A 12,675-nucleotide genomic window follows, 5' to 3' on the forward strand; every position below is an offset into this window, starting at 1 on the left:
CGACCCACCATGGGCTCGCCCGGGAACGTCAGATCTTACCCACAGCTCTGCCTAGCAGGGCCAGTGCCTCTCCTCACCAGGCCCTTCCTGCCTTACCTTGACCGAGATCACACTGGACGTTGCATCTGACGCTTGGCGTTGAGTGTTTTAAACACCGCTTCAAGCCCAGAACGTCTTTCTGGGACGGATCGACCCCCATGGGCCCTGGGCAGGACTGGGCCTGGAGGAGGCCCCTGAGGCCTTGCAGATGCCCTTGCCCCACCTTGCACCCAGCCTGGCCAAGCGCGGGGGACTGCGGACCTGAGGGCAAAGGCCATGTCACTGAGTTGAGAGGAGCGTCCACTCAGAGAAGGGGTTAGGGATCTAGCCTCGGGCTGGATTTCCCTGACAGACACCCCCAGTCCACCACTTCCCGGCCTGTGTCCTGGGACGATTCTTGTCCCCCCTTCTGTGAAAGGGGATGCCAGTGCCTCGTCCCTGCCCAGGTTGTGGTGGGGACCGAACCGTCATTGTGTATCAAGAGTCAGCACTGTGAGTGGGGAAGTTCTCTTCCAAAATGCAGAAAACCCGCAGGATGGGAGTTGGGGTTCCTTACGCTGTCACAGCCCGGGTGCGACACTGTCTTAGGACCCTCTGTGCTAGCCCCAAAAGAAGAGAGAGGCGGCCGCAGGGCTGGCCGAGGAGTAAATAGACTGAAATCGCCATGTGTTTTGCCTCAATTGAGTCTAACGGGCCCCAATTCCTCACACTCTGTTCTTTCTCCCAATACCAGGGATCCCCCGGCCCTACTGGTGAACCAGGTCCATCGGGGCCTCCAGGAAAAAGGGTAAATAATCCTGCAGGCACATCCTTGCTGTCAAATCCCTGCATGAAACACCCCCGCCCCTCCCCGTCACCTTTGCTTGGGCCCTGGGTGCTCTAAGCTGCACTGATGAGGAAGGGCTCGGGTGTGGCATGTTCTCCACTTAGCCTCGGCCACATCATCACCTAATCACAGGCTTGCCAGGTCGACGCAGCTGCTCCTTTTAGGACAGGCCGCCTGCTGACACGGTCAGTGATATCCATGGTGGGAGAAAGACACCCGCAAAGCTGCAAAGGTCCTTTTCCCCTGGCTCAGGTTTTACTGAAAAGCCAGAACAAATGAGAAGGCATCTTTTGCAGATTGAATGGTCCAGCCACTTGCTGGTGGGGCAGTAAACAGCTGCCTGGTGCACCCAGGACGGAGGCCACACACAACTCGCGGCGTGCACTGCGCCTCCCCACGTGGCCTGAGAGGCCTTTACCTGGGACTGGAGTCCATAGGACTCATGCTGAGGACCCGTGTCACTGCGGGTGGCCCGGGAGCAGCCTCCATGACCCTGCACCCCTGCCCTGCAGCCCGGCACACCCTGAGCACCTGCACCCGAGCTCGTCCCTCTGCCCCTGCAGGCCACACACACACACACCCTGAGCGCCTGCACCCGAGCTCGTCCCTCCACCCCTGCAGGCCACACTCACCACCTGCTGTTCTCTTGCTTCTTTCAGGGTCCCCCAGGCCCCGCAGGCCCCGAAGGCAGACAGGGAGAGAAAGGGGCCAAGGTAACGTGTTTTGGAGCCAGGCTGTGACCGCGTAGACCTCCCCCAGGGGAGCCCAGAGGGTGGGGAGTGGACAAGCGTGTGGGCAGAGATGTCCATGGAGGCTGAGAGTGGCTGCCCCAGGGGCACCTGGCTCATGGCCTACCTGGGGAGGAGACCTGGTTCTCTCTCAAGGAGGCAGCCAAGTGGTGGCCACAAGACTGGGGCCGTCTGCCTTGCCCACCTGAGGGAGGAGGCGGGTGGTGGGTGCGGGATTCAGGGAGCCCAAGGCTGAGTAGTTATGTCCCCCGGAGCCCTGCGACCTCATGCCTGGTCTTTGAGTCGGCCAGACCTGAGCCGCCTACCTCTGAAGTGGACCGTGTCCGATGGTGACCGTGTCTGCTGCGGGGCCCGTGCAGAAGATGGGACGCCGTCACCCATGCAGTTGGCTTGGGGCCTGGCCCAGAGCACACGGGAGGCTATTCTGTCAGTGAGGTGATGGCGGCCCGGCCTGGCACTGTCTGCCTCCCTCCTGGAGGCGCCTGTTGTTAAGGAGACGGGAGGTTGTGCGGTTCCATCCCTGCTCGGGCAGTGGCGCTGTGACACCCGGTCTGTGGTCGGCGCAGTCAGCGGAGACGGGATCCCTGCTGGCCTGGGAGATGATCGGGATGGAGACTTGACCAGGGCAGCTTCCACAGGCAATGAAATGTGGAGAATTAGGGCAACCCCGGATATGGGGTCACCTGGGACTCCTCCAGAGGTGCCCAGGGTTTCCGAGCAGTGGTCCTGGGCCAGGGTGCCTGGAGCCTAGAGCTCCGGACCTCATTCTGCCCTCCGCCGTCCTGCAGGGAGAAGCCGGCTTGGAAGGCCCTCCTGGGAAGACTGGCCCCATCGGCCCCCAGGGGGCCCCTGGGAAGCCCGGACCGGATGGCCTTCGAGGGATCCCTGGCCCTGTGGTGAGTAGGCTGTGAGGGGCAGAGGGGTTGCCGAGTGGAGGGACGGGGGACCAGCAACTCATGCAGAGCGTCTCTGTGTTTCAGGGAGAACAAGGTCTCCCAGGATCCCCAGGCCCGGACGGTCCCCCCGGCCCCATGGTGAGTCACATTCCTCATGGTGAGCATAGCGGGTGGGATGACTTCGCCACCCAAAGCCCCAAGGATGAGGACTCTGATCCCCCTGCCTCCTCCCACAGGGTCCCCCAGGACTTCCCGGCCTCAAAGGAGATTCTGGTCCCAAAGGTGAAAAGGTAAGAGGGGCCTCCCTGCCCCAGCAACTGTGACTCGGGGCCTTCAAATTTGTGGCCGTGGGTCTCAAACTCAACAAGCTCTTGATCCGTCACCTAAATGTGTCAAGCACCTGCTGCAGGCTGGTGGTGGGGAACCTGAGGGGTGACAAAGGAAAATAGACACGCTGTGTTTGAGGCTTGGCCCCTGCCTCTGGGGGGTCCTGAGCAGCTCGGGAGATCCCGGAGGCCCCTGCGGTATTGACGGAGAACCTTCCAGCTAGGCACAGAGGCCCCGGCTGATGGGTGTCCAGGATCCCAGGTTGCTGCTCTCCCTGGGCTGAGCGGCCCCAGATCCTTTCCGCAGGAGGTGTGAGGACATTTCTGCAGTGGGAGCAAAGCCCTTTTATTTTTCTAACTGCTGGGAATTGTTTTCCACTTGCATTGATTTATTTACAAACATAAAAGGTACTCAGGAGTGAGATGGTTGTATATGAAGCAGAAGGCAGTGAGGGCCCTCTCATTTCCACTCTGACGTCCGCCACCACTGCCCCCAGCCCCAAGGCAAATGAGAGCTGGGGCTGCCTTGCGAGGCTTGCCCTGGGTTCCTAGAAGACAAACATAGACAGCGAGTGTCATGGATTCTTCTTTTTTTAGAAAAACAACCCATGATTGTAATATCTATAATACTCTGCATCTTTCTTTCCGTGTCAGTCCACAAACTTTGTTTTAGTTCCGTATAGGAGCAGGCGTTCGGATTTGCCATAGGAAATTGGAGAGCGTATACGAAGAGAAAGACAGAGATAAACATTACCACTCAGGAAAACCCCTTTATCACTTTGGTCTGTCTCAGTGTCTGTGGCTCCCTGTCTGTTTTTAGACGTGACTGTGGCCAGCGAAGGGCCACCTCGGACCTGCCGTTTCGTCACCTGGCCCCTCTGTTGAGCCTGTTCCCCTTCCAGGGGAGGCTGACCATGATGTAAAGCTTCCTGTGCCATGGCTGTGCTGCGTGCTAACTGGCCCACCGTGGCCGAGCATGAGGCGTGGCTCCCTCAAATGCCCCTTCCTGTCTTCATTTTCCCACAGGGTCATCCAGGCCTGATCGGGCTCATCGGTCCTCCGGGTGAACAGGGTGAGAAGGGCGACCGTGGTCTCCCTGGCCCCCAGGGCTCCTCCGGTCCTAAGGGAGAACAGGTGCGTGAGATGGCACTTCTTGCATGTGGGCTGTCGAGAGGCATTTTAGATCCCTGGGGCAGGCACCCAGGGGACAGGAGGCCCATCAGAGCCCGGAAGGACGTCCACACGTCGGTTGAGTCCGGTCATCCTGCTTGGCAGATGGGAACACTGACGGGCTGGGCTTGCCCAGGTGCACAGTGAGCTGGGCAGAGCCGTCTCCCAGCTCCATGCCCTGACTGGCAGGCGGGGCTTCCTCCTCATGACCGTGGTGTCCCCCAGAGCTGGAGGGACTCGGAAGTCAGGTCATTCTGCCTGGTTCCCAGCCCTGTGGGAGAGCCTGTCACCCACCGCTTGCCCAGGAGGTCACTGGTGACAACCAGCCGTGTTTGCCAGAGCTGCGGGCAGAGTGGCTGTTCTGGCTCCTGCTTCCACCTTGTCCCCAGCTGCCCCCAAACTGTAGCTCATTGGAGTTTGCAGCCTCTGCAAACCATAGCCAAGGAAACGCCATGCAGAGAGCTTCACTCTGTCCCACAACTCTGAGTGACTTGGAAGTGGCCTGGGGAGGGTGACGTGTGCCATGGAGGCAGGAGAGGGGATGAGGTGACCTGTAGTGCCTCTGTCCTTCCCCCATGAGGGCCACGGGTCCTTATTCCTGTGTGGGAATCTTTCCGTCCCGAGCAAGGTGTGACGGACACACACACGCACAGTATGCTGTGCCCACCCACGCCCATGCCTCATAGGATGCGGGGGACAGGGCAGGAGCAGGCAGAGCCCCTGGAGGCTGGGAGTAAGGTGGCACCCTCACTATGGGCCCGGGGAAGGTTGCAGGACATGGCTGAAGGGTGGAGCTCATTGCAAACCCTACCTCACTGGCCAGTGTCCTCCATGCCATTGACTGTTTTCCTCTGCCGGTATCCCCAGGCCACAGCAGGGTCGTCGGAGGAGTGCCGCCCAGGGTGTGGTGGCCCGGCAACCACGAGAATTAGAGAGGCATCCAGGGTCCCCACGGCCAGCGGGGAAAGCACCCCTGTGTCCACCCTGTTTGCTCACCTGCCCTCACCCCAAACCATGGTCTTGGCGGCATTGCTGATGAAGGTGTCGGGTTGGTGTGCAGGCTTGGGTAGTTGTGGGGTCCTTACAATGAGCCACAGCCCAAGTTCCTGCAGGGACAAGGTGAAGGGAGGGAAGCGCTCCCTCCCCAGTGAAATACGGCCATCAGCCCTCCGCTACCCTCGCCCCCAGCTTCTGCCCGGAGAGAGCTCTGAGTGGAATCCAGGGCTGTAGGGAGAGAGGCTGCAGGTGGCTCCAGCTGCCCGTGGCAAAGCTGGTCAAAGCTGTTCTGTGCCAGCAGCTCAGTCTGGGAGGGAGTCAGTGGGGAGAAGGGGTCTGAGCGGAGGTTCCACGCTCCAAGGATGCAGAAAGCACATTTACAGGCAGGACAGGACAGTCAGCATGGATGGGACTCCCTGCCCAACCCCTCCGGGCTTAGTTCTAGAGGGGAGACTAACACCATGAGCAGGAAACAGCAAGAGGGGCCCAAGCCAGGGCCACAATGTCAGGGCAGTGGTTTCTGTATTTCCAAATGAACGTGAAAAGAGGTGCTCAGCCTGAAGTCCTCGGTGGCCTGGGGGATGAGAGTGAGTTCCTGGCAGCCCAGCCGGGGGAGCAGTGCCGAGGGCTGGCAGCCTTGGGGTGGATGCTCAGGTCGATGGCTCCCCTGACATGCACAGCCCAGGATCAGAAAGCAGCCACAGGAGGCTGCTGAGGGGCCAAAGGGCATACCGTGGGGAAGGGACAGGGGAGCCGAGGGGTGTGGCTGGGTAGCAGGGTTGCAGCCCCGCAGCTCCTCCTCGTCTGAAGGTGATAACCTGCATTTTCTGGTCCTTTTCAGGGTATCACTGGTCCTTCTGGCCCGATTGGGCCTCCTGGGCCCCCTGGCCTGCCGGTGTGTATCTGGGAGGGGCTTGGTCATTCCTGGGAGGGCAGGGAGGGTGGGGATAAGCCTTGGGGCCTCAGTGTGGAGCTAGAGAATTGTGGAAAAGTCACACGAGAAGCTGGAATTGGGGCCTCCAGGGTGGATTTGCCCATTAACTCAACATTGGGGTTCCAGGAGACAGAAGAAAGGAAGTGGCGTTGCCCGGCCATGGTTTTTGGTGGGGAAGACAGGGACAGGAAACGGTGGCCATTTCAGGGAACGAGGCCACTTGTCTGTAGGCATCTGGGGAGGGTGCGGAAGGTAGTAGTTGGCTCTCCAGCCCTCCCAATTCCCAGGAGCCCGGCCAGCCTGGCCCAGACAAGAGCAGTTAGCTGCCCTCCTCTGGCACCGCTGCCTGGGTCTCACATTGCTGGGAGACCCAGCATTCCCAGGGCATCCCCACAGCCGCTGGGCTGCAGGTACACATGGCCCCCGGGGGCCCCTGGCACGCTGAGGGCTGGCCCCTGCTGTGTGCTATCAGGGCTGGGGGGTGCATTCCATCAGCCCCTTCTGAGCCAGGACATGCTCTTTTCCGCTGCGCCCCCCCCGCGGCTGTCTGAGCTGGGGTTTCCTAGCCAGGGTGGGTGGTAGGCTGGCCGGGGGCAGGTAGGACCACCCTGTGTCTCCACGAGGGGTGAGCACCAGCCAGGCCCCGACCCTCCTCCCACTCTAGCCGGGCAAATACAAGCATAGACTCTTGAGGGGGATGCGGGTGGGAGAGGGGCGAGGGGCGAGACCAGGCTGGGCAGGACATGGAGCACGGTGGGGCTGGAGCTGAGACCCGGCTTGCTGACGTTCTGCCCTCCTCTCTCTGCAGGGTCCGCCTGGTCCAAAAGGTGCTAAGGGCTCCTCGGTAAGTAACATGCTGCCCAGCCAGGCCAATGCCTGGAAGGTAGGGGAGGGCGACGGGTCCCCTGGCACGGGAACAAACTACCCAGACAACCGTCCTAGCTCAGGCCCTGCTGCTCACGATCCTCCCATCTTTCTACACTGACCCATGGCGGACTGAGGCAGGTGGGCTGCTCGCCGCCTGCCCTAGGAAGGGCTCCATCCCTCTCTGTTCTCATCTCAAGGATCCAGGAGGGTACAGGGGTCTCTGCCATTCTCTTCTCTGCTGTGGCTGATAGGGCCACCTCCCCCACATAGGTCTCCAGGGACCATTCTAGAGCTGAAGGTGGATTCAAAGTCCCCTCATACCTCTGTGACCAAGGGTTGATTCTTTTCTTTCTCCCCAGGGTCCAACTGGCCCGAAGGGTGAGGCAGGCCACCCAGGACCCCCAGGCCCCCCGGTAAGTAGCCCTTGAAGCCCAGAAAGCGGGACGGGGGCTCTGGCTAGCTCCGAGGGAATTGAGAAAGCAACTGTGTGTGTGTGACCCCTCCTGAGACTCATGAAGCCCATGTGGCATGCCCGGGCCTTGTCCCTCGCACGCAGCCGGGGAAATGAGCCACACAGGTCTATCACAGGAAGCTTACAGGCCAATTGGCCCTGAGAAGAACAGCTGGCCAGGAGAGAGAGGATACACGTGTGTGCTGTGTGTGCATGCATGGTATATGAATGTGTGAACGTGTAGTATATGCGTGTATGTGACTGGGCACGTGTGTGTGCATGTCTGTATGTGTACGTGCATCCTGTATATGTGCATGCATGTGTAATGTGTGTGTACATGGTTTGTATGTGCATGTGTGTGTGCATGATGTGTGTATGGGTATGCATGCATATATGTGGGGCACATATGTGTGTGCATGTGTAGTGTGTGTATATTGTATACGTGCATGCATGGCCGTGTGTGTGTGCATATGTATATGTGTACATGCATGTCTGGGATATATGTGCATGTGTGTGTGTGTGTTGGGATGGGGGAGCACTAGACAAGGCCCTGGAGGTGAAAGGTGAAGCCCAGTTTGAACCAGGGCATGGCGAGTGCACTATTGGACACCCCCCTTTGGTTGTGGAGTCTCTCCAACTCCCATCGTCATCTTAGCTGTGGCCTTCTGGAAGTGAATGGCTCTTTGCATCAGGAGGCATTCATGTGGCCCCACTGTGTTCAGCCCCAGCTAGGGCTGCAGAGGCCAGACTGGGGAGACCTGGTCCCTTTCCTCAAGGCTTGGCCTTTTGTGTGGCTGAGGGCAGGATGGCAGATGCAAGCCCAAGGCTGCAAACTGTTAAGTTTCAGCTCTAGAGAGAAAGGAGAGGTGCTCCATGCTGGCAAGCACCTGGCAGTGGGGATGGGTGTGGAATGTTCCAGAGACTGGAGGAAGGGATGGAAACAGTTCTAAGGCGGACAGATGTCCATGTAGCCCAGGTTGCCAGGCCCCAGGGAACCCCTGCAGATGTGGCCCCAGCTGTCCCTGCTCTGCTCATATCCTGGGACCCTTCCCATCCTCCATCACCCACCGCTGCTCCTGTTCTGTCCCCCAGGGCCCCCCGGGAGAGGTCATCCAGCCCCTGCCAATCCAGGCATCCAGGACGCGGCGGAACATCGACGCCAGCCAGCTGCTGGACGACGGGAATGGCGAGAACTACGTGGACTACGCGGACGGCATGGAAGAGATCTTCGGCTCTCTCAACTCTCTGAAGCTGGAGATTGAGCAGATGAAACGGCCCCTGGGCACGCAGCAGAACCCCGCCCGCACCTGCAAGGACCTGCAGCTCTGCCACCCCGACTTCCCAGATGGTGAGGGCCTGGGGGGGCAGGGGTGGCCCCCCAAAGCGGGCATGGACCTGCAGGACACATGGAGTGTGGCAAGGACAGTTCAGCCAGGCACAGCGGAAGGGACAGGACGGGCAGCCGCAGCCTCCCCATCTGTGGGGCCGGGGTGCGCAAGAGCCTCCCCTCTTGAACTTTATGGAGGCATCTCAGGGTGAGGCCGGGTGCAGAGGCCAAGGCTTTGAGGTCAGACTCTCCAGGTTCTCATCTGGTCTTAGGCATTTTCTGGCGGGGTGACCTGCTTGAACCTCGTGTTCCTGACCTGTCAAATGGGAACAGAAACATCTCCCAGGAAGAGGACAGAGTTGCGTGAGGCAGTGCCTGAGAGGCTGGCACAGTGCCAGTGGAAGTAAGGGTCAGTGTTAGGACCGGCAGCAGACGCTGTGCTTGGGCAAACGGCCTTCAAACTCCGCGATACTGTAAAAACACATCCTTCTCCTCACCATCATAGCCTCAGGCACCAATTGAAGGATAAATTCCCATTAGCTTTTCTTCCCCCTGGGAAGTTTGAATGTTCCCCCTGCAAGATTCGAGGGATGTTCATGGTTCCAGTAGACTCTGATCCTACATGCATGAATTTCCAGAGTTCCTTCCAGAACCCTCTCTGCATTTCTGTCCACCCAGAGAGTAGGCCGGACCCCAACCCTCCTGGCCACCAGAACACGTACCCAGTTGCTTCATGCACCAGCTGTGTTCTTGGTGAATGAGTTTGTCCACATCTCTTTATGGGCCCAGCAGGAGAAGCAAAATGCAATAAAGTAAACCCCAGAAAGGCCCGTGTTGGCGGCATTCCTGGGGCGTGCATTTTAACTGCTGGACTGAAATGTCACAGCGGCTTCCGGAACCATCCAGGGAGCAATCCTTCTGACTCTGCCTGCCTCCCTCCCCGTCTCTGAAATCCAGGTGAATACTGGGTCGATCCTAACCAAGGATGCTCCAGGGATTCCTTCAAGGTTTACTGCAACTTCACAGCCGGGGGGTCGACATGCGTCTTCCCTGACAAGAAGTCCGAAGGGGTGAGTAGCTGTGTCCCTCCATGGCCCCAGCGGGGCAGGCGTCACAGACAGGGCCATGCCGAGGGCTTCAAGCATTTCTTGTATATGCAGCTTTAAGACTGAAAGCCAGAAATGAATCCGTTTCATCAGTGAAACTGTTCTTTCAGAAGTAGACCTGAAATTGTTTTAAGAAATTTTTTAGTAATAAAATAGGTTTGTGCAGCCCGGGGTCAGGAAGGGTTGGAGGGCTTTCCACCTGGCATCCTGCCGTCCCAGGGCTGGGACTTCACTCACTGGTTGATAAAAGCTTTTCTCCGGTGACTCAGTGGTCCCACTGACCTGAGACCCCCATTAAAACCCTTTAAAGGAATTGGGAGCAGGTACAATAACGTGAGCCTGAGACATCTTCCGGAAGCTGCCCTTTGCCTCAATTCTTATTATCCAGCCTGTTTCTGTGGGTTGGCCCTGGTCCCTCCTGAGTGCTTTGTTTTGAAGTCTGTTTAGTGAAGAATTCGGGGTGGGGAGCTGGGCTCTGTTGAGATTTTGTGGCATGTCACTTAAATACCCACCTCTGTGGCCTTTCGGAGGCCTCAGCGCTGTAGCAGGAGTTTGTGTGCATGTGGATGGTGTGTGGGCACATGTGGATGAGTGTGTGGATGGGTGTGTGAATGGTGTGTGTGTGTGTGTAGATGCTGTGTGGTTTTGTAGTTGGGGTGTATGTGGATGGTGTGTGTGTAGATGGCATGTGGATGATGTGTGGGTGCATGTGGCTGGTGGATGGGTGTGTGTATGGGTGGTGGATGGGTGCGTGTGGCTGGTATGTGGGGGTGTGTGGGTGGTGTGTGGGTGTGTACATGGTGTTCGGGTGTGTGTGGCTGGTGTGTGGGTGTGTAGATGGTGTTTGGGTACTTGTGGCTGGTGCAGGTGTGTGGGTGTGTGGCTGGTGTGTGGATGTGTATATGGTGTGTGGGTGTGTGTGGCTGGTGTATGTGGGTGCATGTGGCTGGCATGTGCATGCATGTAGACGGGCGTGTGTTGCTATCCCTCAAGCATGCACCTGAGGCAGGTCCAGCCTTGGCCCAGGCGAGGACTGAGTCTCCCTGTTGCTCCTGGAAGGTGACCAAGCCTGCAGCTCTCGTGCCCCTGCATCAGCTTGAACGGCCTCTCCTTCATGAGCTCGCAGTTGTCGCGTGGCCCCAGGCAAAGGCCGCCCATTTCTGGGGCCGCAGCGGTTTGCTGTGCAGGTCCAGACCTGTGCGCCCCTGCAGCCTCTGCTTCCTAACAACCTCAGTGCCCCAGAAGCAGTTTCCTGCCAGGGGAAGAGCAGCTACGTTCTCCCCAGGGACCGCCATCCCCTTACCCCTCAATCACGCCCTGACCGTGCTGAGCTCAGTAGCCACTTTGGGTTAGGAGCCCACTGGCTGCAGTGGAGGCTGCACATGGCTGGAGATCTGTGGGGCTCCAAGTGCAGGGGTCCCCTCCCCCACCTGAAGTTTTAACTCCTTGAGAACCTGCCTTCCTAGTGACAAACCCTGTTCAGAGAGAATCCAAACACGGGGGCCTTCCATCTCGGCTCTCGTTTCCCTCAGTCTGGCCAGAGGCCCCGCGTGGAATTCCCTTAGAAAAGAGGTTTCTCGGCCCTCCTTCGCGGCCTGCCTCTGCAAATGGGTGGCCTTGCCGCTGTGGAAATCACGGGCCAGACTCCTCCAAACTCAGAGGTTTCCTGGGAAGCCGCGGCTGGTGTTCACGGCACAGCAGCGTGGGGCTGCTGAGCGACCCCAGGCTCCCCCAGTGTTGACCAGCCAGGCGTCCACAGGCTGCAGCCTCGGGCCTGGGCTACAGCTGCTTGGCCAAGGGCAAGTGGAGACGCTTTCCGAGGTGGCCCCCTTGGACCCGGAGGAGGCTCACAGCAGAGGCTGGGGGAGCCCGCGCTTGCCCACATCCCGGGACTCTTCCAGGAAGAAGCTGCCTTCACGCCGCCTGGGCTTGGCATTGACAGTGGCAGATTTGGAAACGAGAGAGGGTGGGAGAGCTCTGGGTGGCGTGAGAGGCAGATGGGACACCCCTTTCCTCCAGGGGATCCCCTTTTCTGGCCTTCTTGGCACAAGGCCAGCTCAAGAAGAAGGCTGGGGGGATCAGCCAGGGATCAGTCTTCTGTGTCCTCATGGCGCACAACGTGAGCCCCAGTCAGTCCAGGCTGGGGACAGGCCGGCCCTGGGGGCCCTTCCACTCCACGCCTGCAGCAAGTGCACCCTCAGGCAGCCGGGGCTCCCCTTGTCCTGTTTTTGGGACCCAGCGTGCAGGTCTCCCCTCAGAGGAATGGCTGCTCACCCACCCATCCATCCGTGGCGTCACTGAGGCCTGCCCTGCTGGGCCCAGCCTGTGTGTCTGCAGCCTCGGCCTCTGTGGAAAGCAGGCCTCAGGTGGGAGCCCTCCCAGGAAGCGGGCACAAGTAGTGCCCCATGGCAGCGTGAGCTGGCTGCACATGATCCAGGCAGGCAGCCGAGGAGCAGCCCTCACCCGCACACGTCTCAGTCCCCAGGAAGGTTCTACCACACACACACACACACACGCAGATGCACACTACACACCACACGCACAGATACAGGCCACACACCACACATACCACACAGATACACGATACACATACCACACACCACAGAGATACGCACCACACACACAATACACACCACATATACCACACCACACATCACACAGATACACACCATACACCACACACATACCACACACACGATAAACACCACACATACCACACACACACCCATAATGCGCCATACACACCACACATACCACATACCACACATAGATACGCACCACACATCAGACACACAGATACCACACACCACGCACATGATACATACCACACATCACAGATACACACCATACACAGACATTACACACAGATACCACACACACACACCACACATCACACAGATACACCCATAACACACTACACACACACCACACATCACACACAGACCACACATTATACCACACACACAGCATACACAGATACACACCACT

General features: G+C 58.9%; 1 protein-coding gene and 1 long non-coding RNA gene across 4 annotated transcripts in view; one reads left to right on the forward strand and one right to left on the reverse strand.

The window, feature by feature from the left end:
* COL5A1 (collagen type V alpha 1 chain) overlaps positions 1–12,675 on the forward strand; it is a 203,041-nt gene that overhangs the window by 174,451 nt on the left and 15,915 nt on the right. For all 3 annotated transcript variants that reach the window (NM_000093.5, XM_017014266.3, NM_001278074.1), the window contains exons 53-63: positions 773–826; positions 1,525–1,578; positions 2,403–2,510; positions 2,595–2,648; positions 2,747–2,800; positions 3,863–3,970; positions 5,844–5,897; positions 6,745–6,780; positions 7,163–7,216; positions 8,347–8,602; positions 9,539–9,651. In NM_000093.5, the coding sequence (NP_000084.3) occupies positions 773–826; positions 1,525–1,578; positions 2,403–2,510; positions 2,595–2,648; positions 2,747–2,800; positions 3,863–3,970; positions 5,844–5,897; positions 6,745–6,780; positions 7,163–7,216; positions 8,347–8,602; positions 9,539–9,651 (945 nt within the window). The remainder of the gene's footprint in view (positions 1–772; positions 827–1,524; positions 1,579–2,402; positions 2,511–2,594; positions 2,649–2,746; positions 2,801–3,862; positions 3,971–5,843; positions 5,898–6,744; positions 6,781–7,162; positions 7,217–8,346; positions 8,603–9,538; positions 9,652–12,675) is intronic.
* Positions 3,162–12,675, reverse strand: part of LOC101448202 (uncharacterized) — a 53,204-nt gene continuing 43,690 nt past the window's right edge. The window contains exon 2 of the long non-coding RNA NR_103451.2: positions 3,162–3,956. This is a non-coding gene — a long non-coding RNA (uncharacterized LOC101448202). The remainder of the gene's footprint in view (positions 3,957–12,675) is intronic.

This window comes from Homo sapiens, chromosome 9 (genome assembly GCF_000001405.40).
Source record: "Homo sapiens chromosome 9, GRCh38.p14 Primary Assembly".
NCBI classification, from domain to species: Eukaryota; Metazoa; Chordata; class Mammalia; order Primates; family Hominidae; genus Homo; species Homo sapiens.